The sequence below is a fragment of the Homo sapiens genome, chromosome 6 (genome assembly GCF_000001405.40).
Source record: "Homo sapiens chromosome 6, GRCh38.p14 Primary Assembly".
In the NCBI taxonomy this organism is placed as follows: domain Eukaryota; kingdom Metazoa; phylum Chordata; class Mammalia; order Primates; family Hominidae; genus Homo; species Homo sapiens.
Genome location: NC_000006.12, coordinates 163,208,123 through 163,235,027, shown reverse-complemented (window position 1 = coordinate 163,235,027; position 26,905 = coordinate 163,208,123). Strand labels below are relative to the sequence as shown.

At 41.6% G+C, this 26,905-nt stretch overlaps 1 protein-coding gene, 1 long non-coding RNA gene and 1 pseudogene across 6 annotated transcripts in view; all 3 read right to left on the bottom strand.

Annotated features, from left to right (window-relative positions):
* Positions 1-26,905, bottom strand: part of PACRG (parkin coregulated) — a 588,369-nt gene that overhangs the window by 80,473 nt on the left and 480,991 nt on the right. The window lies entirely within an intron of this gene.
* LOC124901548 (uncharacterized) lies at positions 8,023-8,118 on the bottom strand (annotated as a pseudogene).
* On the bottom strand, positions 23,388-25,752 carry LOC105378095 (uncharacterized). Its single transcript, XR_943198.3, has 2 exons — positions 25,639-25,752; positions 23,388-25,169 (listed from the first exon to the last, which is right to left on the bottom strand). It is a non-coding gene; the product is annotated as an uncharacterized LOC105378095 (long non-coding RNA).

The following is a 26,905-nucleotide window of genomic DNA, read 5'->3' as shown; positions in this document are numbered from 1 at the left end:
CATATCTTTCTTCATTTAAACATAGTCGTGTCTTTTCGTCTTAAAACTAGCAAGTCTCTGTCTAACCCAAAACGTTACCAACATTTGGCCCCACTTTCCTTCGTCAAAATCAACTTTTTAAAAAGAGTTGCCTGTACTTGCTCTCTTCCTCAACTCTCATTTATTTTTTTACCCATTATAATCTGGCTTCTGTTTTACCTCTATATGAAAACTGCTTTACCCAAGACAGCATTGTTGCTCAGTTCAATGGACATTTTTCAGCCTTTATTTTACTTTGCCTCCAAGAGAAATTTTTGACTCTGCTCTCTTTGTTTAAACACATTCTTCTTTTGGTGCCCATAGAAGTAAACTCCTGTGGTTTTTGACCTGCATCTGTGGCTACATCTGCTTGGTCTCCTTTGGGAGCCGTCTGTCCCTTAAATGTAGGTGTTTTAGTCTGTTGGGGCTGCTATAAAGGAATGCCGAGGCTGGATAATTTTTAAGGAAAAGAGGTTTATCTTGGCTCATGGCTCTGCAGGCCATACAAGAAACATGGCACCAGCATCTGCTTCTGGTGAGGGCTTCAGGAAGCTTCCATTTATTGTGGAAGACGAAGGGGAGCTGGTGTGTGCAGAGATCACATGGCCAGAGAGGAAGCAAGAGAGGAGGAGCTGCCAGGTTCTTTTCAACAACCAGTTTCTGCAGGAACTAAGAGTGAGAACTCACCCACTCCCATGAGAAGTCACTCCCCTGAGAATGGCACCAAGCCATTCCTGAGGGATCTGCACCCCCCATGACCCTCCCACCAGGCCTCACTTCAAACATTGCAGATCAAATTTCAACATGAGACTTGGCAGCGCCAAACAAGCTATATCCAAACCATACCCAAACTATAGCAGAGGGTGAGACTCAGAACTGCACCCTAGATCATCTTCTGTCCCTGCTCTGTGTCACTTTCTATGGACCATCTCCATCATTAATGACAAGAGTACTCTTCCTTTAATGATGATAGTTATCCCCCAAGACCTGAACACTCTTAAATGGCTGAATAAAATCTATTACTTCCCACCAGGCATTTCTTATTGAGCCCCAAGACAAAATGTCTTATTATTTAGGGAATATTTCTATTTGAATGTCTCTCATTTGGTGAAATCTTAACAATGAAGGACAGTGCAACTTACAATTTCCCTCCTTCCCTACAAACGTGCTCCTCATTCCATTTCCCCTTCCAGAATTTTGTTTTCAGAACAGAAATCCAGAAGTTATCTTTTACTCATCCTACTTCCTCACTCACAATTCTGTGTTATTAAGACCTGTCCTTTATATGTCTTCAATATTTTTCAAATATTTCCATTTTCTCCATCTCCTCTGCCCCTAACACAAAGAAGTCACTGCCATTTCTCATGTGGACAGCTGTATCCTGCCCCCTCCACGGCCTCTTGGACTGTCTTTATCCCTTCCCATCTTGATGTTAAAATGTTTCCTCTTATTTTCTTGAACTCATAATATGTTTTCTCACACAGTGAAATGCATGGCAGTTATTTCTTTGGGCTAGCATGCAAAAGTCATTTAGCCACACAGGGTAATTTAGAAAATGGCATCTCTCAAGTTCAAGGCTGGTGTCATTTCTCTCCCTCTCTCTCCAAATTACCATCTAGGTCAACTGTAAAATGCCCCTGCAGCCTCCGGCCTCCTGCATTCTACTCCATTCCTCTGTTTTTACTGGCAGGTGAACTTTTTGTTCATCAATCAGTTCAGCCATCTCTTCATCCATCCATTCACACACCTTCAGCTTTGTCCCTAAATAATTTAAATCTCCTAACAGAGATGTAGAAAACATGAAAGTAGGTGAGAAAAATACAAAGGATAGTGAGCAGGTTATTCCCATTGTGAATTGAAGATGGATTGCAGCAAAGAATACTTCTTGGGGGACAAATTCCTGCTGAGCGTGTTCTGTAACATCACAATACAAGAGAAAACTTAACAGAAAATGTGTTTGAAGTTGCTGAGACCATCTCCTCCCCAGAGATGCCCTTTGCTACACTGGCAGGGCCACTCCAGCTGTAGTCCCAGAGGGATGCGGCCCTGGTGTGAGGGGCAGTATTTCAGCTGGAGGAGCAGAGTTGGGAGAGGGCTGAGGGCTGGTTTCGGGGGTGGAGGCTCCTGGAGGAGGGGTGGAGGGGCTGGCTGTGCAGGGCCAGGGCCTCCTCCTGGGAGCGTGAGCTGGGGGGTAGGTGAGGCGTGCTCTTTACCTTGCTCTGCTCTCAGGCCATGCCTGGACTGTTCTTCCTGCTCTGGCACCTCAGGGAATCAATCACTTTTGTCTCTTCCTATTGCCTGCTGTTCCTGAACAGGGCTCCTCTTCTCGCTGGTCCACAGGAACCTGTTGACCTTCCCCGGTGTGCCTTAGGGAAGCGGAACACCCTCAAAGTATAAGTGTGTTTTGCCATGAACAAGGCCAGGACCACAGAGCCACCTTCCTCTGCCCCTTCTCATCTCTGCTTCTTATTTCCACACCTTCCCACCTTTCCCTTCCCTTACTGCACTGCCTTCTTCCTTCTCCTCTTCCTTTGTTCCTCCTTTCCTCTTTTTCTTCCTTTTCCCTTCCCTTCTTACTAAACAAAGTAAGAAGTGGACAAAGTGTGGGCGTTGGTCTGACACGCAGGCTGGAGCTAAGAGCTACTCTACCAGGAGGACTTGCAGGTTGGGGCTCGGGCACATTGCAGCAGCGGAGGAGCCTCTGGAGTAGCCAGGCCCCAGCGGGACACGGCACCTGGTGCAGGTGAACTCTTCTCTATTATAAGAGTGTGACGCTAATCTTCAGCTCTCCTGGGTTCTCTTCATCATAAATATTCCTGGAATGAACATCACTGTGTTGGCTTGTCCTGAGGCACTCACCTCAGCCACTCCCTTCTAGGCTGGACCTTTGTGTTCTGTAGAGAGCTGCCTTGGGTGGTAGAGGCTGGCCTGAGAGTCCCAGCAAGTCAGTGCCCACTTCAAGTCATCTTCAGAAGTAGCTTATTTTATTTGTTCTAAATAATTATCTGTCCATTTCAACATATACTGCAGATGAAATATCTGCCAATGCAGCATTACATAAATACCAACGTAGTGCCAGCTCCAGCTGAGAGTGAAGCCGGGACTTGTTTACCTACAGTAACTGCGTGCTCAGCATTCTTGGGTGAGGCTGTTTATCATGGCCAACCTGCAGCCAGTGGTCTGGAGAGGCTCTTGCACCTGTATGGTCCCACCTCAGAGAGGCAAATGGATCTCTGCTTGTTGAGAGTGATTCTGAAACTATGCAAGCTCATGGATAAGGGGCTCTGACTGGCAGATGGAGTTTGTTGAGGGTAAAAGGAGTCACCTGGTGGGTGCTGGTCCTGGGGAAGGCATGCAGTCAGCCAGGATTGCTTGCCTTTTCAAGCCACCCTATGTGAAGTCACCTTTTGCTGAGGCATCCTGGCTCAGCGGATCTGGGCTCATAGTTGTGAAGACCTGCAAAGTTGCTGATCCATCTGTATGGAATTGTCTGCATCCGTGCAGGGTGTGACAACCCGGCATGTCACTGTGGTCAGAGCAGCCCGGGGCTCTCCTGCATGCAGCGCCGGTGCAGACTTCCAGCAAGCCCATCTGGGGACTGTCCACTGCTTTATAAAGGGTATGGGCAGGGAACTCTGGCCATGTTCGAGCAGGATGTGATTAACATGACACAGACTACTGTTTTCTTGTTCTAACAGCATTTTCAGTGGCATGGCAGTGAGTGGGTCACAGGACATAAGAAAAGACAGTGGATGAAGTTAAGAGAAATAGAAAAGCCGCAGGAAGCAATTTTGGAGGACGCCAGTGCTGCTGGCAGGAGAAACCCCAGCCAGCAAGCCACGGCTCCCCCGTGGGCCTGCCCACCTTGCCAGCCTCCCAAAGGTGGTGCCGCTCCCAGCCGCAGCCCCATCCTATCTTGAGAGCCCCTGTTTGGGGTCTCCACTTTCTCTGCTGGCCCAGAGGAGCCGTTGCCTTTGCAGGGATCTTCTTAGTTGTGCCTGAAGATTGTGGCACCCTTGACCTCTCTCCTCTGCCATCTCAATACCATATTCATTTCTGTCCCGCAGGCTTCTTTCACGAGGCTGTAATTACTGGCAGGGACACCTTACCTACCTCCTCCTCTCTCTCCAAATACTGTCCTTCGAGGCCTAATTGAAGGCCTCTCTCCTCCAGGAAGTCTTTTCTGAATGTTGGAGGCTCTGATAACCTTCCGGGTTTTTCCCTCCCTAACTCTGCACCTACAGCAGTTCGGCATTACACACCATCCTGCGTTCTTCATTTGTTTATTCAACCACGTTTTAGGGATTTTGAAGGTGAATTACTGTTGCTGTTTCCATCAGCAATAAACAGACATATAGACACATAGTTGGACACATTTGGACACGTCAAATAAGTCTTAAAGGCCGTGGAATGAGTCTAGTTATATATGTTTTTCCATTCTAGATGGCATGAAATTTAATGTCTATTCAAAAGTCGAAACTATAAAACTCCACTAAGTATAAGCTTTCCAGATAACTAGTTTATTTTCTCCCTGGAACTTAAAATAGGAGGAGGAAAGGGAAGTCTAATTCTGAGAAAGTAGGATCTCTTTCGGATGTTTTGTCCATTAAATAGTGAATATTTTATTACACTAAAAAATTCTATGCATGTAGACTTACAGTAAGTACTCCATATACATTTTAGGCTGATAAATTGGAATAACTGGTATTCTAAGGGGCATAATTTCCTAACATAAGGACACAGTTACCTGTGCTACAATGAAGAGATTAAAAATTGGTTATTGAATGCTTTATCTTAAAGGAGTGCTGTGTAGTAAAGAAGATTCATATTTGCTAAGCTCTTTAAAAACTGTAATGCATGGTGCAAATGTTACATATATAGACGTACATTCTCTTTGCAAAGAGCTTTCACAAAGGACAATGTACTATGAAGATGGCCACTTGGAAGTAAATAGGACTTTGAGGCGTTTCTGATGCCACTGTAGAGAATGTCAACAATGGCAGTATTAAATTTGCTGTTTTTTATTATTTATTTCAATGCCCAGAAGCAAACTGTTGAATAATTTCACCATCAGGTTACAATTGAATTAGGTTCTAAATTATAGGAGGTTAGTGGGACTCTGTGGACCTGAAATTGACCTCTGCTGTCGCCTGGAGACAGTTCTGGGCATCTTGCTGACAACTGCCGCTAAAGGAATTGTGGAGCCTGTTGGTCCTCATGAGAGGAAGTCAGCGCTTTCCTCATCCATCTTTTCTTCCTTCTTAAGAAAAATTCTTCTGTCCCAAATTTCTTCCCAGAGGAGGGTTCTCCTAGAACTATTCAAGGGTCTCTTCCAACAGCATTTGACAGGTGTGGAATTACTACTTAAAAAAGTCACGAGACTAACTAACTGAAGGGGAACGATGGTGCTTGACTACGAATGCCACATTTGTGCTCAGGTGCAGGTTATTCAAGCTGTGGCTGAATGTCTTTGGAACCATTACTGGAGCAAAGCCTGCAGACAACTCCTTGCTAAACCATAAAATGATGATTCTGGCAAGCAAAGATCAGATGCAATCTGAGTGCTCTGAGAAGCAGAAGAATCAGTGCTTTGAAAGGGATCACAAATACTGGATTTTTTGTTGTGGTGGTGGTGGTGGTTTTGTCTTTTTTAGAGGCAGAAGGCAGAGGTCTCACTCTGTCACCCAGGCTGGAGTGCTGTGGCACGATTATTGCTCACTGCAGCCTCTAACTCCTGGGCTCAAAGTGATCCTCCTGCCCCAGCCCCCTGAGTGCCATAGGTGTGCACCACCTCTCCCCTGGTTACTTTTCTGTAGAGACGGGGGTCTCACTATGTTGACTAGGCTGGTCTTGAACTCCTGGACTCAAGTGATCCTCTTGCCTCAGCCTCCCAGAGCATTGGGACTACAGGTATGAGCCACTATGCCTGGCCTGCAAATACTTTTAAATTGAGATATGAAATTTAGCCCTTTCTGGTTCAGTAAAATGTTTACTATTTTTATAAACAAAACATCAGAAGGAGATTCTACTTTCTCAGAATTAGACTTCCCTTCCATCCTATTTTCAGGTCCAGGGAGAAAGTAAACTGGTCATTTGGAAAGATTATTTTCAGGAGTTTTATAGTTTTGGACTTTTGAATTAGACAGTAAATTTCAAGCTGTCTGGAATGGAAAAACATATATAACTAGACTCATTCTGCGACCTTTAAGACTTATGTGATGTGTCCAAATGTTGGTCACTGTGCTAGAGAATCACTCCAGTCTGCATTTATTCCAATTTATAAAGGTTTCTTTTTATTTTCAGCTGAAATTTTTACTTTGGGAAATGTTACAAAAATAATCATGATCGTTCACCATCGTTCCTTTACTTCTGCAGTATTGCCGAAAGTTTTAAAAAAGTGACTGTACTTTTTCCATAAAAAGGAATTCTTTGGTATAAAGTTGGTTTACTAATCATACTCTAATGGCCGTGCACCCGTGCACTATCTTAATCTATTTGTCATAAACTGACCGCCAGCATAATTTTGAATGAATTAATGAATTAATCCAGCACATGTTGAGCCTCCGCTGTGTGCCAGGTACTCTTCTAGGTTTACTTATTCCATTTTTTTTTTTTTTTTTTTTTTTTTTTGCCTGCTTAAAGATTTCCAAAGCTTATCTGCCTCCACTGATGTCCATTTCAATCATTTTCAGGCGTAGATTAAGAACACCCTCTGGGCTCAGGGACTCTGACTACATCTTCTGATACCACAAGTACTTCAACTTGCTCTCATTTGAAGAATCCATTGCCTGGAGAGCTGGTCAAATTCCTGGAGGGTCATGGATTTTTGTCACACTGATTAGTGGTAGATTGAAAAAAAAATAATTTTCTTGTTTTCTAATATACATATATATCTTAAACAGGAAACAAATATATGTGTCTTCTCTGTATATTTAAAAACAATAACCTTCTGGATACATTTCCAGACTCTGAACTCATGCTTGTTTTGATGTTCATTGTGGTTTTTCACCAACACTGCCTGTCTGTATGATCTTTAATCACAAGTTAATTTTTAAAAGCTTCATTAGTGTGCTGTTTTTCTAAGCTGAAATTAGTTTTTTCGACTTGGACATATCAGCTTAGCTGCATTTGCCTTATTTTCTTATTATCATAACCTATGGCTGGTGGTGTCAATTTGATGAGAGGCTGTGCTAATAACACCCAAGTTGTGGGTTTCATTCTCGCCACAGGGAGGGCAGTTCGTCTCAATGGAACAGGCAGACCTATCTTGTCCAGTCTTGCAAACGTGTATGAGGGTCTGGGTGTAAGGGTGAATGTTTGCTGGACCTGGGTGTTAAAGCTTTGTAGTCCCCATCAGTATAAAGCTGTTTCTGCTCCTGCTGACCTGGCTCAGTGCAAGTCCTGTAACGATGGGTAGGCTGCTGGCTCTGCTCCTTCATGAAGGACGGCACACCCATGGGAATGGCTTACAGTCCTCTCGTTATCTTTCCGTTACATATATTGGTGCATCTTCAACTTCTAACTCATTAGAACAGCAGTGCTATAGTTTGAATATCTGATCGCGCTCAAATGTTGTGTTGAAATGGAATCCCCAGTGTTGGAGGCGAGGCCTGGTGGGAGGTGTGCTTTGGTCATGGGGTGGATGCCTCATGGCTGGGTGCCATCCCTGCCCTAGTGAGTGAGTACTGGTGAGGTCTGGTTGTTAAGTACGTGGCACCTTACCTCCCACCTCCCTCTTGTTCCTGCTTTCATCTTGTGATGTGCGTGCTCCTACTTCGCCCTCTATCGTGAGTAGAAGCTTCCCGAGGCCTCCTGGGAAGCAGATGGCAGCACAATGCTTCCTGTACAGCCTGCAGAACTGGGAGTCAATTAAATCTCTTAAAAATTACCCAGCCTCAGGTATTTCCTTATAGCAATGCAAGAATGGCCTAATACAAGCAGGAAGTCATGTTTTTACATGCCACAAAAATTCCCGTGGAATCTTATGTGGTTTACCATTATTTTTTTTAACGTACCATCATCATTTATAAGGTTTGAGGGAGGCATATCTCACACATGAGTGTGAAATCCTACTCATCACACTTATGAACTACAAAGGATCAGTTTACCATGATTTTTAATCCCATTGGCTCTTTTAATTAAAATAGACATCAATGATGCAAACACTTTCAAACATTTTTGGAGTTTATCCTTTACTACATCATGGGTCACGGTGGAGGCTGCTGCTGAGTACTGCCCCAACCCTCCTAGAGAACAGGTTCTCCCCAGGCACTGGGATGTGAGCCACCGATGGCTGGGTCTCACCCTGGGAATTGCCCTCTGCCTCAGACAGGAGCTGCTTCACTCAAGGTTACCCCTTCCTCCAGCAGCCTGCATGGGCTGGCTAATGTATAGGCACAGAGCCCCAGCCCCTTGGCCTCAAGTGGAGATTGCCTGGGACCTCCTCCAGGCAGTCTAACCTCTCCTGCCCAGCCGTTTCTTCCTCTTTCTTCCCACCTCCAGCGTTATTAAGGCCTAACTGACAAATAAAAACTATATACATTTACAGTCCGCAATGTGATGTTTCAACACATGTACGCCATACCCTGTGGGATGATTACATCAAGCTTATTAGCATATCCATCACCTCACATGCTTCTCATGTTTTTGTGGTGAGAACATTTAAGACCTACTCCCTTAGCAATTTTCAAATATACATTATTATTAACCAGCGTCACCAGACTGCAGTGGATCTCCAGAACTCATTCATCCTGTCTCATCAAAACTTTGTGCCTTTTAACCAACATCTCCCAATCCGCTTTCCTTCCCCAGGCTCCTGCTAAACACCGTTCTACTCTCTGCTTCTATGAATTTGACTTTAGATTCCACATATGAGTGAGATCACGCAGTTTTTGTCTTTATGTGACTGGTATATTTCACTTAGCATAATGTCCTCCAGGTTTATTCATGTTGTCGAAAATGAGAGGATTTCCTTCTTTTTATTTTGTTTTTTTGGTAGAGACAGGGTCTTGCTGTGTTGCCCAGGCTGGTCTGAAACTCCTGCACTCAAGTGATCCTCCTGCCTCAGCCTCTCAAAGTGCTAGGATTACAGGCATGAGCCACTGTGCACAGCCAATTTCCTTCTTTTTAAAGGCTGAATAGTATTCCATTGTGTATATGTACCACATTTTCTTTATCCATTCGTCGACTGATGGACACTTAGGTTGATTCCATGTCTTGGCTACTGTGAATAATGCTGCAATGAAAATGAAAGTGCAGTATCTCTTCAACATACTGATTTAATTTCCTTTGCATCTATATACCCAGAAGTGGGATTGCTGGATTACACAGTATCTCTATTTTTAACGTTTTGAGGAACCTCCATACTGTTTTCCATAATGGCTGTACTAATTTACACTCCCACTAACAGTGCGTAAGGGTCCTCTTTTTCCACATCCTTACAAACACTTGCTATATTAGTTCATTCTCACACTGCTATAAAGATACTACCTGAGACTGGGTAATGTATAAAGTACTCACAGTTCTGCATGGCTGGGGAGGCCTCAGGAAACTTACAGTCATGGCAGAAGTGGAAGAGATACACCTTACATGGTGGCAGGTGAGAGAGAGGGAGTGAGGAGCTAAGGAGGAAGAGCCCCTTATAAAGCCATCAGATCTCGTGAGAACTCACTCACTATCATGAGAACTGCATGAGGGTAACCACCCCTGTGATCCAATCACCTCCCACCAGGTCTCTCCCTAGACATGTGGGGATTATGGAGATTAAAATTCAAGATGAGATTTGGGTGGGGACACAGCCAAACCACATCACTTGCTATCTTTTGTCATTTTGATATTAGCCATTCTAATAGGTGTGAAGAGATATCTCATCATGGTTTTAATTTGCATCTCCTTGATGATTACTGATGCTGACCATTTTTTCATGTACCTGTTTGCCATCTGTATGTCTTCTTTTGAGAAATGTCTATTCAGATCCTTTGCCCATTTTTAAATTGGGTTATTTGTTTTCTTGCTATCAAATTGTTTGAGTTCCTTATATATTTTGTATATTAACTCATAGGATTTTTGGTTTGCAAATATTTTCTTCCATTCCGTAGGTTATCTCTTCACTCTATTGATTATTTCCTTTGCTGTACAGAAGCTTTTTAGTTTGATATAATCCCATTTATCTAGTTTTGCTTTTGTTGCCTGTGCCTTTTGGGTTATATCAAAAACAACAACAACAACAACAAAACTACCTAGGCCAATGTCACGTAGTTTTCCCCTATGTTTTCTTCTAGCAGTTTTACAGTTCCAACTCTTATATTTAAATCTTCAATCCATTCTGAGTTGACTTTTGTATGTTGTGAGATAAGGCCCAGTTTCATTTTTCTGCATGTGGATATCCAGTTTTCTCAATACCATTTATTGAAGAGACTGTCCCTTCCCTGTGTTATGTTCTTGGCAGCTTTGTTGCAGATCAGCTGAATATAAATGTGTGGATTTATTTTTGGCCTCTCTATTCTGTTCTATTTGGTCTACATGTCTGTTTTTATGCCAGCACCATGCTGTTTTGATTATTATATCTTTGTAGTGTATTTGGAAATCAGGCAGTGTGGTGACTCCAGCTTTGTTCTTTTTTTTTTTTTTTTTTTTTTTTTTGAGATGGAGTCTCACTCTGTTGCCCAGGCTACAGTGCAGTGGCATGATCTTGGCTCACCACAAGCTCCATATCCCAGGTTCAAGTTATTCTCCTGCCTTAGCCTCCTGAGTAGCTGGGATTACAGGTGCCTGTCACTGTGCCTGGCTAATTTTTGTATTTTTAGTAGAGATGGGGTTGTGCCATATTGGCCAGGCTGGTCTTGAACTCCTGACCTCAGGTGATCTTCCCACCTTGGCCTCCTAAAGTGCTAGGATTACAGGCATGAGCCACCACGCCTGGTCCCAGCTTTGTTCTTTTTGCTCAACGTTGCTTTGGCTATTCAGGGTGTTTGTGGTTCCATATACATGTTAGGATAGTTTTCCTATTTCTGTGAAAAATGCCACTGGAATTTTGATAAGGATAGCATTCTCAGTCTCTTATAGGCGTTATTTCTGTGCAAGAATCTCCAACTCAGAGCCCATTTCCAGGGAACCTGACTAACAGAATCACTCTGTTTCTACTTTATTTTTCATCCACTGTTTAGAAAAGCAATTCAATTAGCAAGGCACATCTTCATAATGCATGCCATTCTGCCTGTTTGTGGACCAGCTCCCTCTCCCTAAGCATGTTTCTTCTGGTCCTCAGCCAGTCGAAAGCCCACCACATGCTAAAGCCAGCAAAAAGCAGTCTACCTCAAGCCTTTTCTGACCACTTTCTCTTTCCTGTTCCCTCTTCCAAAATTAAATCCTCCTGTAACCCTTGATTTAGGCTTCTTCTTTTATAGCATTTACTTTTTCCTGTGCATTACAGTCGAGTCGTCTAACACTCTCATTAGAATGCAAGCTTCTACTACTTCCATCCTTCTTCTGCTTTCCCATTGTGTGTGGAGCTCAGTGGGCACTCAGAAAATGTTTTCTCAATGGGACACACACATTTTTATTCTCAGTATTTTAGTTTATCCTTAATATTCTTTTATTTTTTATTTTTCATTTTTGAGATGGAGTTTCACTCTTTTTGCCCAGGCTGGAGTGCAACGGCGCAATCTCGGCTTACTGCAACCTCTGCCTCCCACGTTCAAGGGATTCTCCTGCCTCAGCCTCCCAAGTAGCTGGGATTACAGGCACCTGCCACCATGCTCGGCTAATTTTTGTATTTTTAGTAGAGACAGGGTTTCACCACATTGGCCAAGCTGGTCTTGAACTCCTGACCTCAGGTGATTCACCCGCCTCGGCCCCCCAAAGTACTGGTATTACAGGCACGAGCCATCGCGCCCGGTCAATGTTCTTTTGTTTTACTTCTTTTTCCCTAGGTATGTTATACACAATCATACCTACTACATTTTTCAGTAGAAGTTAATTGGTAATTATTTAAGGCAAGATCAATCTGTACACTAAGTTAAATAATCACAATATTACAGTCTCATTTACTTTTCCTTTTTGAGCTACATAATCATTAACTTTCTCTACGGCATTCTGATATTACTACAACTCTACATGATTTTTCAAAAGTAACATTTGAAATGTTGTAGTCAATTCTCTTAATTACTTGGGATGGAGGCAGTTTGGACCCAGTAATTTATATATGTTAATACTTATAACTGTTTATTTATCTGATGTCAATATTGGGTTCTGCAGAATCTACATTATTTCTTAGTGGTTCAAATCTCTTAATTTTTCTTTCTTGGGCAGATTGGGCAAATGCTTCAGCTCTTTTAGGATGGCCATTAATTCCACTCCATCCTTGTTATTTGTGAACGTGTTTAAAAGTGTTTTCCGTGCAATGCTTTTGTTCACATATATATATTTTTAAGTGAGACAAGGTCTCACTCTCACCCAGGCTGCAGTACAGTGGTGCGATCTCAGCTCACCGCAACCTCCGCCTTCCAGGTTCAAGCGATTCTCCTGCCTCAGGCTCCCAAGTAGCTGGGACGACAGGCACCTGCCACCACACCTGGCTAATTTTTGTATTTTTAGTAGAGATGGGGTTTCACCATGTTGGCCAGGCTGGTTTCGAACGCCTGACCTCGGGGGATCCACCCGCCTCGGCCTCACACATCCTTCTTTGGATGCAAGCTCCCATCTCATGCACCCTCACAGCATCGCCAGGAACACGGTTGGTTGCGATGGACCATGGGGGACCTTCATTTCCACAAGCTGTCCCTGAGAATTCCAACCTGCTTCTTGTAAATATAGTTACATGCTCAAATATCTTTTTTATAGTGGGTTAATTTTCTTGACTTTTCAATTACCACTGTAATCTATAATAAAAGTTTACAAAATACTTTACAGTTTTTTGTCATTTGGTCAGCGCACCTGAACAACTTGATTTATTTAGGAAAAATGTTCCATCAGCTGCTGCTGAATTCAGTGTCTCCTGCACTGCACCTGAATATCGCCAGGTGATCAGGGTGCAGCCTGTCTGTATTCTCATACCTTCTAGCAGATTTTATAGATCCCAGAGCTGCGGATTAGAAAATATTCTTCTAGCCCTTAACAGTCTGGCTGTGCAAGGTCCCACGACCCAGTATCCTCAGCTCTTCTCTCCAATACACACCTGTGCCTGGCAGGGAAGTCCTTTAATAGGCAAAGGCCTTGCTGTCAACAGTGAGCGAATGACATTGAGCTTTGGGTCCTCAGCAAGCCCACTGAACTGCAGTGCTTTGGTCAGTTCAGTACAGTTCAGCACACTTGCAGGGACACAACACATCTTTGGCATTCTTTGGAATATTATTCATTTACCTATGTTTTCTTGCTTGTTTATTTAAAGTTGTGGTTATTTTCAAATAGTTCCCTTGGCTGCAAATACCCTCCTTTCTGATAATCAGGCGGAAGCCTAGGATTCCAGCTTCAACGTAAGATGTGCTTTGCAACCATGAAAGTACCTCCCTGAGAGTCACTGGTTCAGCTGCACACGGTGAAATTAATCAAAGAGTAATGTCTATTTCACAGAGTCACAGTGAGGTGTAGGCAAGGCACAAAGGCACGTGTACAAAGTTTGCAGGGAGCTTGGCTCCTTCTTCTCACTGCCTTTGCCCGCACGGAAGAGAAGTGGCATCAACCTTCCCGCAACACCCAGATTCAGACTCTAAGGACCCAGTGGCTTCCTGAAGATTCCTATCTCTGGACTCTGTTTTATTTGGGAATACAGGAACAAATAACTAGGAAAACTGCGATGCTGAGCCAGATGTGGGGAAATAGAGTATTTATTTTATCATGTGCCATTTACTTCCAAGATAATGAAATGCTTTCTAGATGACTGAGACAGACCACTACAGTATTTTCTTATGTATTTTGTCTTCAAAATGCTTGATTTCCATTAGGATTTTTAAAATAGTAATCTGCAGACACTAAAGCTTGTTTTACTCCTGAACTATATGATTTATTCTCACTGTGTCTTGCCTCTCATGTGAAATTGCTGGAACAAGACAGCAAAGTGATGCAGAGCCCAAGTTGCATAACATCAGTAAGCTTAGGTCTTCCTTTCCCAAATGACAGGGACAATAATGAATCTTACCTCATAGGGATGTTGTGAGGATTTAACAAAGAAATCCAGGTAAGCTCTTAGGATGGTTCCTGGTACTTGGTAAATATGCAATACAGTTTAGCCATTATTAATGATGATTAGACATTCCATATACTTTTGGTAACATTTACGTGCAATCATGAGTATTTAACTTCTCCACATACTCTCTTAAAAAAACATAATTAAAGGAAAGATATGCAAATATTTATCTCCAAATCACACACATCTGGAAGTTTCAAAAAGTGGTCTTTGACTTTAAGTACTGGACTGCAATTTTCTTACCTAATTTAATTTATCATATATTATGGAAACTCTATGGCATTCTGTGAGTTTTCCCAAACGCTGTCTTTTCTGTGCCATCTTCTCCGCCTTAGAGCCTGGCTCTCACTCCTGCCTCGTACCCTTGTTCTCAGGTCTACTATGGAGAGAGAGAGGGCGTGTGCAAATCTACATCTCAGCCCCACTTGCCCCCGCTTAGCAGTCAGTCCTTCTGTCCCTTGTCTCAGAATGCCCTGCCAAGAGGCCTGAGTACTGGGAGCACACCCCTGGATAAATTAGACAATGTATGGAAAAACTCACAGACGAGGCTTTGTGAGCATGAGCATAATTACTAAAAAGATGGAGCACACCCTTTCCTTCCTGCACTCCCCCACCCCCGCCCTCTGTCCTGACTCTATCTGTCGCAGAAGACACAGAAGTCACTCTGCATGTATTGGGAGCTCCTTTTATGTGCAGCTCTGTTCTGGATTCTGGGCAGGTGGTGGTGAAAAGACGGCATCCTTGCTTGGACTGGGGCTCACATGCTAGGGAGAAAGAGAGCTAATGCATTGATATTAAATAGTAGATGATGACTTGGTTTCAAATAGCAGTGTGTTTTGTGAAGCAAAATAAAGCAAGGTAAGATATGGGAGGAGGGTGTGCAGCCTTTCCATAGGGCAGCCAGGGGAGGCCTCTTTGGGGAAGCATGTTTGGACAGAGACCTCAACAATGGTGAGCACCCCATGGAGACCGGGGCCAGGATGCTCCGGGCTGAGCGAGCAGAAACTGTAAAGGCTGCAAATAGGAAATGTCCTTGGTGTTTCTGAGGCTTAGGGAAATGCTGGTAGGAGGGAGGGAGGCAGCAGGAGGAGGCAGGTGGGAAAGGCAGGCTGAGCTGTAGGAGGAGGCAGGTGGGAAATTCAGGCTGAGCTGCAGGAGGAGGCAGGTGGGAAAGGCAGGCTGAGCTGCAGGAGGAGGCAGGTGGGAAAGGCAGGCTGACTGCAGGCCGCAGTGGGGAGGAGGATTTTACTCTCAGCTCAATGAGAAACCATTGGGAGGTATTTAAGCAAGAGAATGGCATGATGGGATTAATGTATTTGAAAAGATAACTCTTTTGCATAGAAAGCAGATTTTCAGGCTTTAAGAATAGATGCAAGGAGAAGAACTAGAAGACAAATGCAGAAGTTCAACCCAGAGACAGTGAAGGCTTGGGAAGACACATTCTGGATACTGTGAGACATGCTCAGCTTTAAGGTGGGTTGTGAGGGCAGAGCCCATGAGCTTTGCTGCTGGATGGGCTGTGTCTTATAAGGATTAGAGAAGAATAAAGATTGACTTTTAGGGCTTTGGTCTATATAACTGGTGGCATTGGCTGAGAGGGAAATGGCCAAGAAAGAGTGGACTTTGGAGGAAAATGAAGAGCTGTGTCAGAGGTTAATTCTAAATCACCTATTTAGACATTCAAATAGGAATAGTGAGGCGGCGGTTGGACATACAAATTAGAGGGGTGGTTAGAGCTGGGCATATCAACCTGTGACTCTGTCATCTGTGTATAAAATGGCTTAAAACCATGGACTAGAATAGGGTTGCTGGACAGAACAGGCACTGTGGACCTTCTATGCGGAGTAAGCGCAGTGGGGGCTGTCCTGTGCGTTGGAGGATATTTGGCCGAATCCAAGGCTTCCAGACACGAATGCCTGCGGCATCTCCCCACCTTGTGACAAAAGTGTCTTCAGACATTGTCAAGTGACCCCTGCAGGGCAAAGCTGTCCCCTGTTGAGATCCACTGGGCTATATACATGTTGAGAGAGTGCAGCTGGAGAAGAGGGTAGCCCGAGCCCTGCCCCTGCGGCAGAGGGAGGAGGAGCCAGCCCAGGAGATGAGGGAGCGACCTGTGAGCTGGGAGGAGCTGGAGGAGCAGGTGGACAAGGCTGTTATCAGAGCAGATGGTTGGGGTGAGTGTTGCTGGGAGTTTGAGTAAGAGGAGGACAAAGAACAGGACCTTGGGTTTGGCAACACCAAGGCTGCCAGGGGCCCTGACATGAGGCATTTCAATGGAGAGAAGGAGACAGAAGATAACTGGAGTGGGTTGCAGAGGGGACGGGGTCAGTGTTGAGGACGTGGCCATGGAAAGCACTCATAGCCCTTGGAAGGAGTTCTGTTGAAGAGAGAAGCAGAGAAGAGGCAATACCCATAAGGGGATGTGGGGGCAAAAAGGAATTTATTTCTAGCATGAAAATTGCAGTAGAAAGTGGAATAATTATAGAAATTAACTTCTTGGGTAGATAACAGAGGATGGAATTCAGTACAGCCAGAATTCAGCATCTATCTGTGTTAGATAACTGCACAGAGATTGCTGTATCCATCATACGAGGAGGGAAAGTGAGATATGAGGACAGAGAGAGGTAAGTTGATAAAAGTTTTCAGTGGGAAGATGTGCTAGTCTTCATGTGATAGTTTCTGTTTTCTTTTGGAGAAGAGGAAGCTAATTTATTCGCAAAGAATGAAGAATACAACACCCCTAAGAGTGCAAATATGAATTTCCTAGGGCAGGGGCCCCAGCCTTTTTGGCATCAGGGACCAGTCTCACCCAACACAATTTTTCCATGGACCAGTGTCGGGGAGGGTTTCACGGTTCAAGTGCATTACATTGATTGTGCACTTTATTTCTATAATCATTACATTGTAATATATAATGAAATAATTATACACCTCACCATAATGTAAAATCAGTGGGGGCCCTAAGCTTGTCTTCCTGCAACTAGATGGTCCCATCTGTGATGGGGTGATGGGAGACAGTGGCAGATCATCAGGCATTAGATTCTCACAAGGTGCACACAGCCTGGATCCCTGAGATGCACAGTTCACAACACAGTTCACACTCCTGTGAGAATCCAATGCTGCTGCTGATCTGACAGGAGGCGGAGCTCAGGCAGTAAAGCGAGCAATGAGAGCAACCCTAAATAGAGATGAAATGAAGCCTTGCTCACCTGCCCACTGCTCACCTCCTGCTGTGCAGCTGCTTCCTAACAGAGCACAGACCAGTGCCAGTCCATGGCCCGGGGGCTGGGGACCCCTACCCCGGGAACCCCTACCCTCGGGGTATGTAGAAAGATTGTTGCCTATTTGAGAATCATGATCAAAGGTTTCAAGTGAGCGGATGCCCCTCCTCCCCTCCTGAGCAGACTGCGTGGACGTGGGCTTTGTATCTGTGACTGGGCCTCCCCTGGAACCCTGGCCTTCCTGTCCAGGGACTGGCGTATGCCTAGACCTGCCTATCACCTGCTCTGTTGGGATTGGGCTCCCGTTGGGGGTGAGTTTCCTGAGTCTGAGCTTTCCTTTGGTGCTTGCCAGGAGCTTGTTTTAGCCTTTGGGCATCATACCTACAACAATCGGGCTGCACCCCTAGCTTCTGCAGGGAGCGGTACATTCCCAGGCCTCATTTAGTCAGGCTAAGCCTCTATCGCCAAGCCTGGTTCTGCCCATCCCAGAGTCTTTCACACTTGTGCCCAGACCCCAGTCCTATTAGGACTCAACGGAAGTTTTGAATGAAAATTGGGAAGATTCACTTGCAAAGGCGTGCTGGTGGAATGCTTGTGGGTATTTCAAAGTTCCTCATGGAGAATGTAATTCTGTAGATACAGCAAGTATAAACGATCATTGCTTTTATATGGATTATTGGAGGATTTAATTAGACAATGCAAGTTGAAAGCAAGCACATTGAATATTGTAAAGTTGCAGTGCTAGTTAAAGACAGCAGAACCTTAAATAATAGGTGGTTTTGTTCTTGGAAGAGGGTTTCCTAAATATAAATAATTAAAATAAATTGGACAGCAAATTGGGGGAAAATATAGCAATGTTGCCAAATACGACAGCATCTCACACTATGATAAAGTTGTATCTCTGCGTTGTGTGTACATGTGCATATGTATGCACACGCATGTGTGTACGGGGGCTGGGTGCGCTGAAGGGTAGATGGATGGTGTTTATTGAGGGCTGGGTGAAGTAGTCAGACTCAACTTGATTTTTCTAAGCCATTAAGCTCTCATTTGCATTTTAGATATTCTATTTATCAGCTATCCTTGCTTTACATTAATTATAGTTTTCAAGCATTTGTAAATATTTCCTTAAAAATCCTGCCTTCAGTTTGTGTTCCTCTTCGTTTTTCTTCCCCTTTTCTCTTGAGAGCAGCCTGTGAATCGATGGTTTCATTACTGTCTTCTGCCCATCCTCCACCAGGTTTTTGTCTAAGTTCCTCCACCTTGGTTTCCTTGGTGATGTGCAAGCCCCTCGGTTTCCAGCCCTTGCCCTTGGTGCTGGCTCCACTGGGGACAGACACTGCTTTATGGCCCTCCTTTCACATCTCCACATCACCCTGGTGTCCCAGATCCCTCAAAGTGCATGACAAGGCAGCTGTCCCCAGATGCTCTTTACAACGGCCAGCTCTCTATTAGACAACACAGGAAAAACTTTCTTTCTCACGTCCTCTGGACACAGAAAAGAGGGAAAAGTCTACATTTCATGTGTTCAATTGAAAAATGATCTCTAAAATTACTTAAGACTCATGGATCCTTCTCTTCCCAGCCGGGCTTCTGATGAGCACATCCTACACTTACTGCTGCGGTTCCTGACCTTCAGTGCACTTTACAGCCACCCAAAAGCAGGCTTTGTCTCAAACACTTCCTGGAAATCGCTTTTGCTGAGGCCACTGTTGATCTCCTAAACAATAAATCCAATGGGTATGCTTCAGTATTTGTCTATTTGTCCTTTCTGAAGCATTGGGAGATTTTGATCTTTTATTCTTGACTTTTCTGTCTCTCCTGTCATTCTCAAGCCTTTTCCTCTTCCTACCCAGTTAAATGTTGGGGTTTCCAGGGTTCCACCAGGGGCCATTACTCGTCATTGCTTTATGTTGTCCTTGGGTGATCTCATTAACCACCACAGTCATGCATGTGGCTACCTTTCCAGCCCAGATTGCTCATAAATAGCTCTAAGATATATATTCTATTTGTTTATTGGCTGTTTCTACCTCGATGTCCCATGAGCATCTTAAATGCAACAGAACTAGAAATAAAATTATCATATTTCCCTAAAACATCCTCTTTCTAAATTTGGCATTAGATTAATGATATCAGGATCAACCTAGTCAAGGAGAATGGAATCTACTAAATTGACTCCAGAAGAGACAGAAAACAGAACAATATAACAATGCATGCTATTAAAGCTATTGCTAAATTAACATAAAAATATGCCATGCCAAGATGGCGTTAGAAGCAAATTAATTCCACTTTCCATGGAATGATATTTCTCTATTTAAGCTTATTTAAACTATTATAGAAAGAATCCTCCAAAATTCTTTTAAATAATGACAGCATACCACTGACACTGAAAGATGATAGAATAGTTCTAAAATAGATGATTATCTTGAATATTACAAAAATCTTTACATAATTACCAAAGAAATTTAGCAGTACATTGCACAAAAAAAAAATGCCGTGACTGAGTGGCATTTATTTCCTGAATACATGGGTAGATAAAAAAAAATTACAAATGGGTCAAATTAATATATACTAGTAATATATTAGAGGAGGTAAATTATATAACTTACATAGAAGGTAGGAGAAGAGGCATGTTAACAAATGTCAACCTTCATTTCTGATGTTAAAAATCAGTGGTAAGGCAAGAATTGACAGATTTCTTTTTTAAGCCAGCATGAAGCTTAATGATAAAATGCTAAAACATACCTATTAAAGTGTGGAATAAGACGAGGATCCTAACCATTGCTACAACTACTTAAAACTGCCATTGAAATGGCAGCCAACAGTGTTAAATGAGAAATAACTAGAAAGTTTGAATACTGGAAAGAAGAATTACAACAACCTGAAAACATAAAGAGAATTACCCAAAAGATTACAAAATATACCTACATAGCTGCACTATATATAAATAATTATCAGTGAGAAAATATAGTAAAAGACATTGAAATAAGTACACCATTTACAACAGCAAACAAATAAAACAAAATAAAAATTAAAAAAAGATTAAATATATATGAATGGATTTAAAAGATGATGTATAAATTTATATAAAGAAAACTTTAAAACTCTACTGAGAGACTTAAAAGAAGGCTTAATGATGTCATACTTTAAAAGTATAACAACTGTACCCAAAGTGTTCTGTAAATTCAATGTGACCTTTTCTGGAAAACCAGAAAGTCTAGATTTCTTATGAGAAGGAAAAATAAACGTGTGAGAATATCTTGGAAAACTGTGGAAAGAATGGGTAGAAACTCCCCAGTAAGATAATAAAACTCTGCTGTCCAATATGGTAGCCACTAGCCACATGTGGCTATTTGAAATTTAAGTTTAAATTAATTAGAAATTTATAAAATAAAAAATTCACGTCCTTAGTCACACTAGCCACATCTCCAGGCTCAATGTGATGGTGGCTACTATACTGGACAGAGTAAACAGTGAATATTTTCATCATTGTAGACGGTTCTATTGGACAATACTCTACCGAAGCATGTTATTAATGAAAAGAGTTTGGTTGGCCCTGGAGAAGAAATAGTTAAGAACAGAATCGAGTCCAAAAGTAGATCAAAATAAAGTAGAATTTAGATTGTGATATAGGTTGTGTTTCAAAGGTGGGAAAAAGAGAGGCTACTTTTTATATGGTGTTGGGGCAATTGACTAATCATTTTAAAAAATGTACAGCTAGATCTTTATCTCATTATTTAAACCAATGTAAATTTCAGTTAGAGCAAATAATTAAAATGTAAAAACAGAATTAAGCAAAATCCCTTACTGTCCTTGAGGAAAAGATCAATGGATTTATTTGTAAACTTTAAGTGGGGGTATTCGTAATACCTATAACTGACAAAGGGTTAATTTCCTTAATTTACAAATAACTAATACCAATCAATGAGAAAAAAATAACCAAAACAATAGAAAAATGGGTAAAGGATATACATAGAGGCTTCATAAAAAAAGTATAAATGGTCAATGATCACATGAAAAGATACTAAACTTCATTTATCACCAAAAAGAACCTAAATAGTTCAGTGTATATTCCCTACAAACAAGGACATTCTCCTACATAATCGTAACACAAGCACTGAAATGCAACAAACACCGGTATATTACTACCACTTTATCCCCAACTCATTCACATATTGCCAGTTGTCCCAATAACATCCTTAATAGCAAAAAGATCAATCCAGAATCACATGTTGCATTATTTGTGATGTCTCTTTATTCTCCTATCTAAAACAGTTCTTCAGTTTTGTTTTGTTTTTTTTTTCCTTGACTTTCATGCCCTGGACATTTTAAAAGGTTACAGGGCAGTTTTGTTTTTTAAAAATTGAACATCCCTCAATTGGGGTTTGTCTGACACTTCCTAATGATTAGAGTCAGGTTTTGCATTTCTGGCAGATATATCCCACTGTGCTCCATCAGCTGCCACGTGCTTTTAATTTGTCCATTTCATAGCCATGTTAACCTTGATCCTTCAATTAAGATTGTCAGTTTCTGGTTGGGCATGGTGGCTCATGCCTGTAATCCCAGCACTTTGGGAGGCCAAGGCGGGTGGATCACGAGGTCAGGAGATCAAGACCATCCTGGCTAACAAGGTGAAACCCCATGTCTAATAAAAATACAAAAAATTAGCTGGGCGTGGTGGTGGGTGCCTGTAGTTCCAGCTACTCGGGAGGCTGAGGCAGGAGAATGGCATGAACCTGGGAGGCATAGCTTGCAGTGAGCCGAGATCGTGCCACTGCAATCCAGCCTGGGCGATGAGCGAGACTCCGTCTCAAAAAAAAAAAAAAGATTATCAGTTTCCAAAGTAAAGTTACTCTTCTTCCCTTTATAATTAATGTGCATTTTGTTGGGAGATAATATGAAATAATGGTAAATATACAATTTTTCATCAAACTTTTATTCATTTATTCATTTATATTAATATGGAGTCATTAATTCCTAATGTAGTCTATGGGTTATAGCCCATTTTACTATCATTTATTTTGAAGGTCAAAGGGTCCCTGACTTGGCAATTGGGCAACCCTTTTGAGCCAGCATCTGTGTCCCCTGCACATGTCTCCTTTGCTCTTTAAGCATTTTCTTTCTTTTTGACATGGCTCTGTTCCAAGATCATTCTTGGACTTTTCCTGCCTTAGTTCTGGAATTGGCCATTTCTCAAGGAGCTTTGGTTCCTTTTTAGGGAGAATGGTACTTAGAAACCAAAATCCAGGTACCAGATGTGCTCACTGCTTTTGGGGTGCCACTGCTCCCGGGCCCTCACAGTGAACATAGCTATACACACATACACATAGTTACAACCATGCTCATTTCCACAGCTACCTTTATCTATAATGAAAATCATGAGTTTATGCCAGTATCTCAACTCTAATCCAATACCCCAGAGTATTTTCAAATTCTCTATCTTTTCATATTTGTAACTCTCTTGGCTCCCATTATCCTTTTTATATTTATTCATTTGATCTACCCCTGTATGTAACCAATATCCCACTGCTCTGTACTCCTTCTTCATCCCAATGCAGATGCCTTTCTGGTCACTCTGGTATTCTGATCCCACTTGCAGGGCCATTGGCAGTGCTTCCCAACCACACAGATGTCTTCCTCACTCTTCTTAGGCCCTGACACCCCTCCCTGGACCACAGTGGCTCCCTCTGCCACTGCAGGTAGACGCTGACTGCACGTGCTCAGCTCCATTTGGTGGCTTTGGGCTGAATTATTGAGGAAGAGGAAGAGAATGAGCACTGCATTATGCTACCCTCCCCTCATACCCTCATGACCTGTTTGCTTATTTTCCTAGTTACAAACCAGACTTGGTAGGAGTGCAAAACCAAGAGGCTCAACCATTTCGACTGCTTACATTGGTAACTCTTATAGGGGGAGGAACGAGGAAGTCATCTTTTACTACGGGAAGATATACCATATTAAGTAGAATGTTTTCATGAGTCATTTTATTATGCGCAATTGATTTAAATACCGAGAATTACAACAAATGTGTTCTTGTCCAAAGGCTTCTGTAAAAACTCCATTACATAGATATATGCCTAGATTCTAAGTTATGAAAAATAATCAAATACGGTAAAGGTGCAAGTCCACCTGTGTATATAAGCTTGATATTTCCATGCTATTGGTAGATAAGATAAATTTAAAAAATTTGTTCATCATGGGGAATTTTAAGACAATTATTTAAATTGACCTCAGCTATCTGTCCCTTTACTCTATAAAACAGTGACTTTACCATATGGTAAATATTATGGAAACCAAGTGTTAATGTTTTCATTAAACCAATGATGGAATAGTACACAGGATTATAAAATGTTTCTGTGAAGTATGAGACAGTTGCATAATTTACACATAAGCATTGAAGAATCACTACATAGCCTGGAGGAGAATTGCTAACTCTGTCAAAAAAAGGTCAGCTTTAAGTGTTGCTGTCATAATGGTAGAGTTAAGAGCCAAAGGGAATTTAAAAAAAAGGTGGTGGGAGAGAAAGATTCTGTGATAGAATCTATCATGTAAGCCTAGGAGAAAAAATTTAGTATTGTCAAATAAGGCTCCAGTGAAGTAATGAAGAATTTTATTAAGTTCTTATTATTTGAACGAAGACATTTTTCCATTTTAAGACACTTCAGATCTGTTTAATGTGTGTTTAAATAGGGCATAAAACCAACCAGACAGTTCACCAGGTCAACTTTTGGCTGCCTTGGGATGAACCACATTTTTCCCCCCAATACAGCTATTCACTGATTTAAAGAGCTTGCTGTTTCTTACTTAACATGTCCTATATCTTCCATTGAACTGAAGAGAGTTTTCCTTTTCAAATATTCAAGGTTATGCCCTTCAGTACAAACTGGGTGCAACAAAGAACAGAAATTATTTTGTTCTCAGCAAAAGTAAGGGGAAGAGATACATGTATTTAACAGAGAAATTTAGTGGCTGCTTCAGTATGCGTTAACCAATTTAATCCCTTCAACATGCCTCTGCAGTAGATATCATCCATGTGCTTTGGAAGAGGAAGTTAATGCTCAGAGGTTATGGTCCTCAGCCCATAGAAATGGGTGCATCCGCTTGGAAGCTCCACCTTCTAAGGCCATGGTGAGTGCTCTGTCCACTCTGGTGGTCTCTGCTTTATTTTCAGTGGGGATATTTTTTAATGAAGGCCCTCCAGTGAATTTTCTTTGTCCTCATGTTCAACACTTACTGTGTTGAATTGAATACTTGGCACTTTTTCACATTTTAGAAAGATATTCTGCATTATAGAATGGATTACACATTGGTATTACAATATCTAAACTTTGATAGTTCTATAAATGCTTTAGAAGGAATATATTTGGGTCACAGGTAAAGTCCATTAAAGAGCAGAAAGTTAGTACATTATTCTGTCCTTCTGTTCATCGTCTGGATGTAATTGTCTGTGTACTCACCTGACTGCTCTGTAATCTTTAATAAGATTTTTAAAAGTATGTGGAAGCGTAGGCCGTGACTCTCATGAGCATGACGGGTGACAATGGTCCTCATGGAGACATTTGCCAAAGCTCAATTAACAAGACATTTGGTAGAGAACTGAGGTCCCCCAACAGGCGTGGTTTGATGTTCATGGAGACTTTTAGGGGCTCGGCTCAAGAACTTCACACATATACTCTTACTGTGCAATGGAGGGTTGATTTCAATTGACTGTCTTTGCCTTGTTCACTGCTGAGTTGCAATGGCTTTTCTTTCTTTAAAAGAAAGAATGTGAAGGTAAAATAAAGAATATGTTTGTGTACTTTAGACATATGGAAGTTTTCAGTTGTTAGTTTACAGTACGATATTTACAATATGATATTTCCTTTGTGTCACATGCTTTACATCAAATTATGGCTTGGATATGTTGTCTTGTTCAGGTATTAACTAGGTTGATGTATGCTTATTTCATGCATTATGAAAAAGTCAATACAAAGGAAAATTCAAAACTCAGTAATGTCATAATATTCCTTTAGAATAAACATTATGTAGCAGTTGTCTCATTTTGTGTTACCCTCATCTGTGAAATTAGGCAATCCCTGTAGCATAACCTGTCAATATTAACAATTATTTGTTGTGGGTATCATTCAATCTCTACTTTATGCCCAACCACTCAATGTAGTTTTCTTTTAATTATAGATTTAGAAATTGATTAATGAAATATAAAATGCCAGATCAACTTACAACTACTTTCAACCTTGCCCATCCAAATCCATTTCTCGTCCTTTTGCAAAGCTCCACTTTCATGCTGAGGCGGACTGCCACATTAATACTGCTTAGATCTACTCCAGCTAGTCTGCACTAAGGCTACTGACTATTCTTTATTAAGGCTACTGAGAAATTTGGATGGTAAGATGCTCTATTTCAGGGCCACTCATCACGTTTCCTGATAAATACTAACAACAGTTCACTGTGTACTTCCTTTACTAAATGCACTCAACTTCTAGTCAACTGGGAAAGGTGTCAGAAAAATGTGCCTAATATTGCTCACGACCTTATTTAGTAAATGAATGTGAGTGCCAGCCTATAGATTACTTTGTCTTGTGCTTCTATTTGTAGCTGCTCACAGATCCAGCTTGCCTATCCACTCCTGTGAGATCTCCTTTTAAAGAAAATTTAACACAGAGGGGGAAAATGTAATAAATTTGGAGAAAAACATCATTTCACATTAGCTAATGTGCTTTTCTGTTTAATAATCTAACATTCGGCATTAGACAAATATTTTTGTAGACCGGTACTTTGTTTTCTTTTTCTCTTGTTAGCATTGTAACATCAATTCTAAGAGATGCTAATCCACATAGTTTGAGGTGGATATTTACATTAATGAAATGTATGTCTAAAGTGTTCCTTTCTCCAAGTTAGTTCACATTTTATTCCATGCAAAGAAGATATATCTTGGGGGATTATAAGTAATATTTGAGCATTCTTTTTAGGAGCCACTGCACTAAAATCCTAGGAAGTGATACCAAAAAAGATGGAAATCCAAACGTGTGCTTAGCCAAATTAGCTTCAAATCCAATAGCACACTAAAAATAGCTAAATAAAATGCACATTTATTTGTTATTTTATTTCTGGACTTTTAATCACAGAATTGATTTATTAATATAGAGAAGATGCTAATTTTAACATGATAACCTGACAATCTTTTTTTTTTAAAAAAAGTAAAATGTAGCTTAGATTCTGATCTCTGCAATTATCCTTTTTCTAATTTGTATACTATACTAGCACTACCACCGTCATCTTCATTGAAGGTACTATGTTATGTCTTAGGACAAGAAAAGAAGAGAAAAAAGAAAAGAAAAGAAAATCTCCAATATAGTCTATGAATAAAAGTGGTTTCAGTTCTTTACAGAGTATTTGCTTTATGTAGTAAATAAAGCAAAAATAATCTTTGGACTCGATTGTGCAATATAAGCTAGTTTACTAACAGGATAACACCAAGTTTAACTAC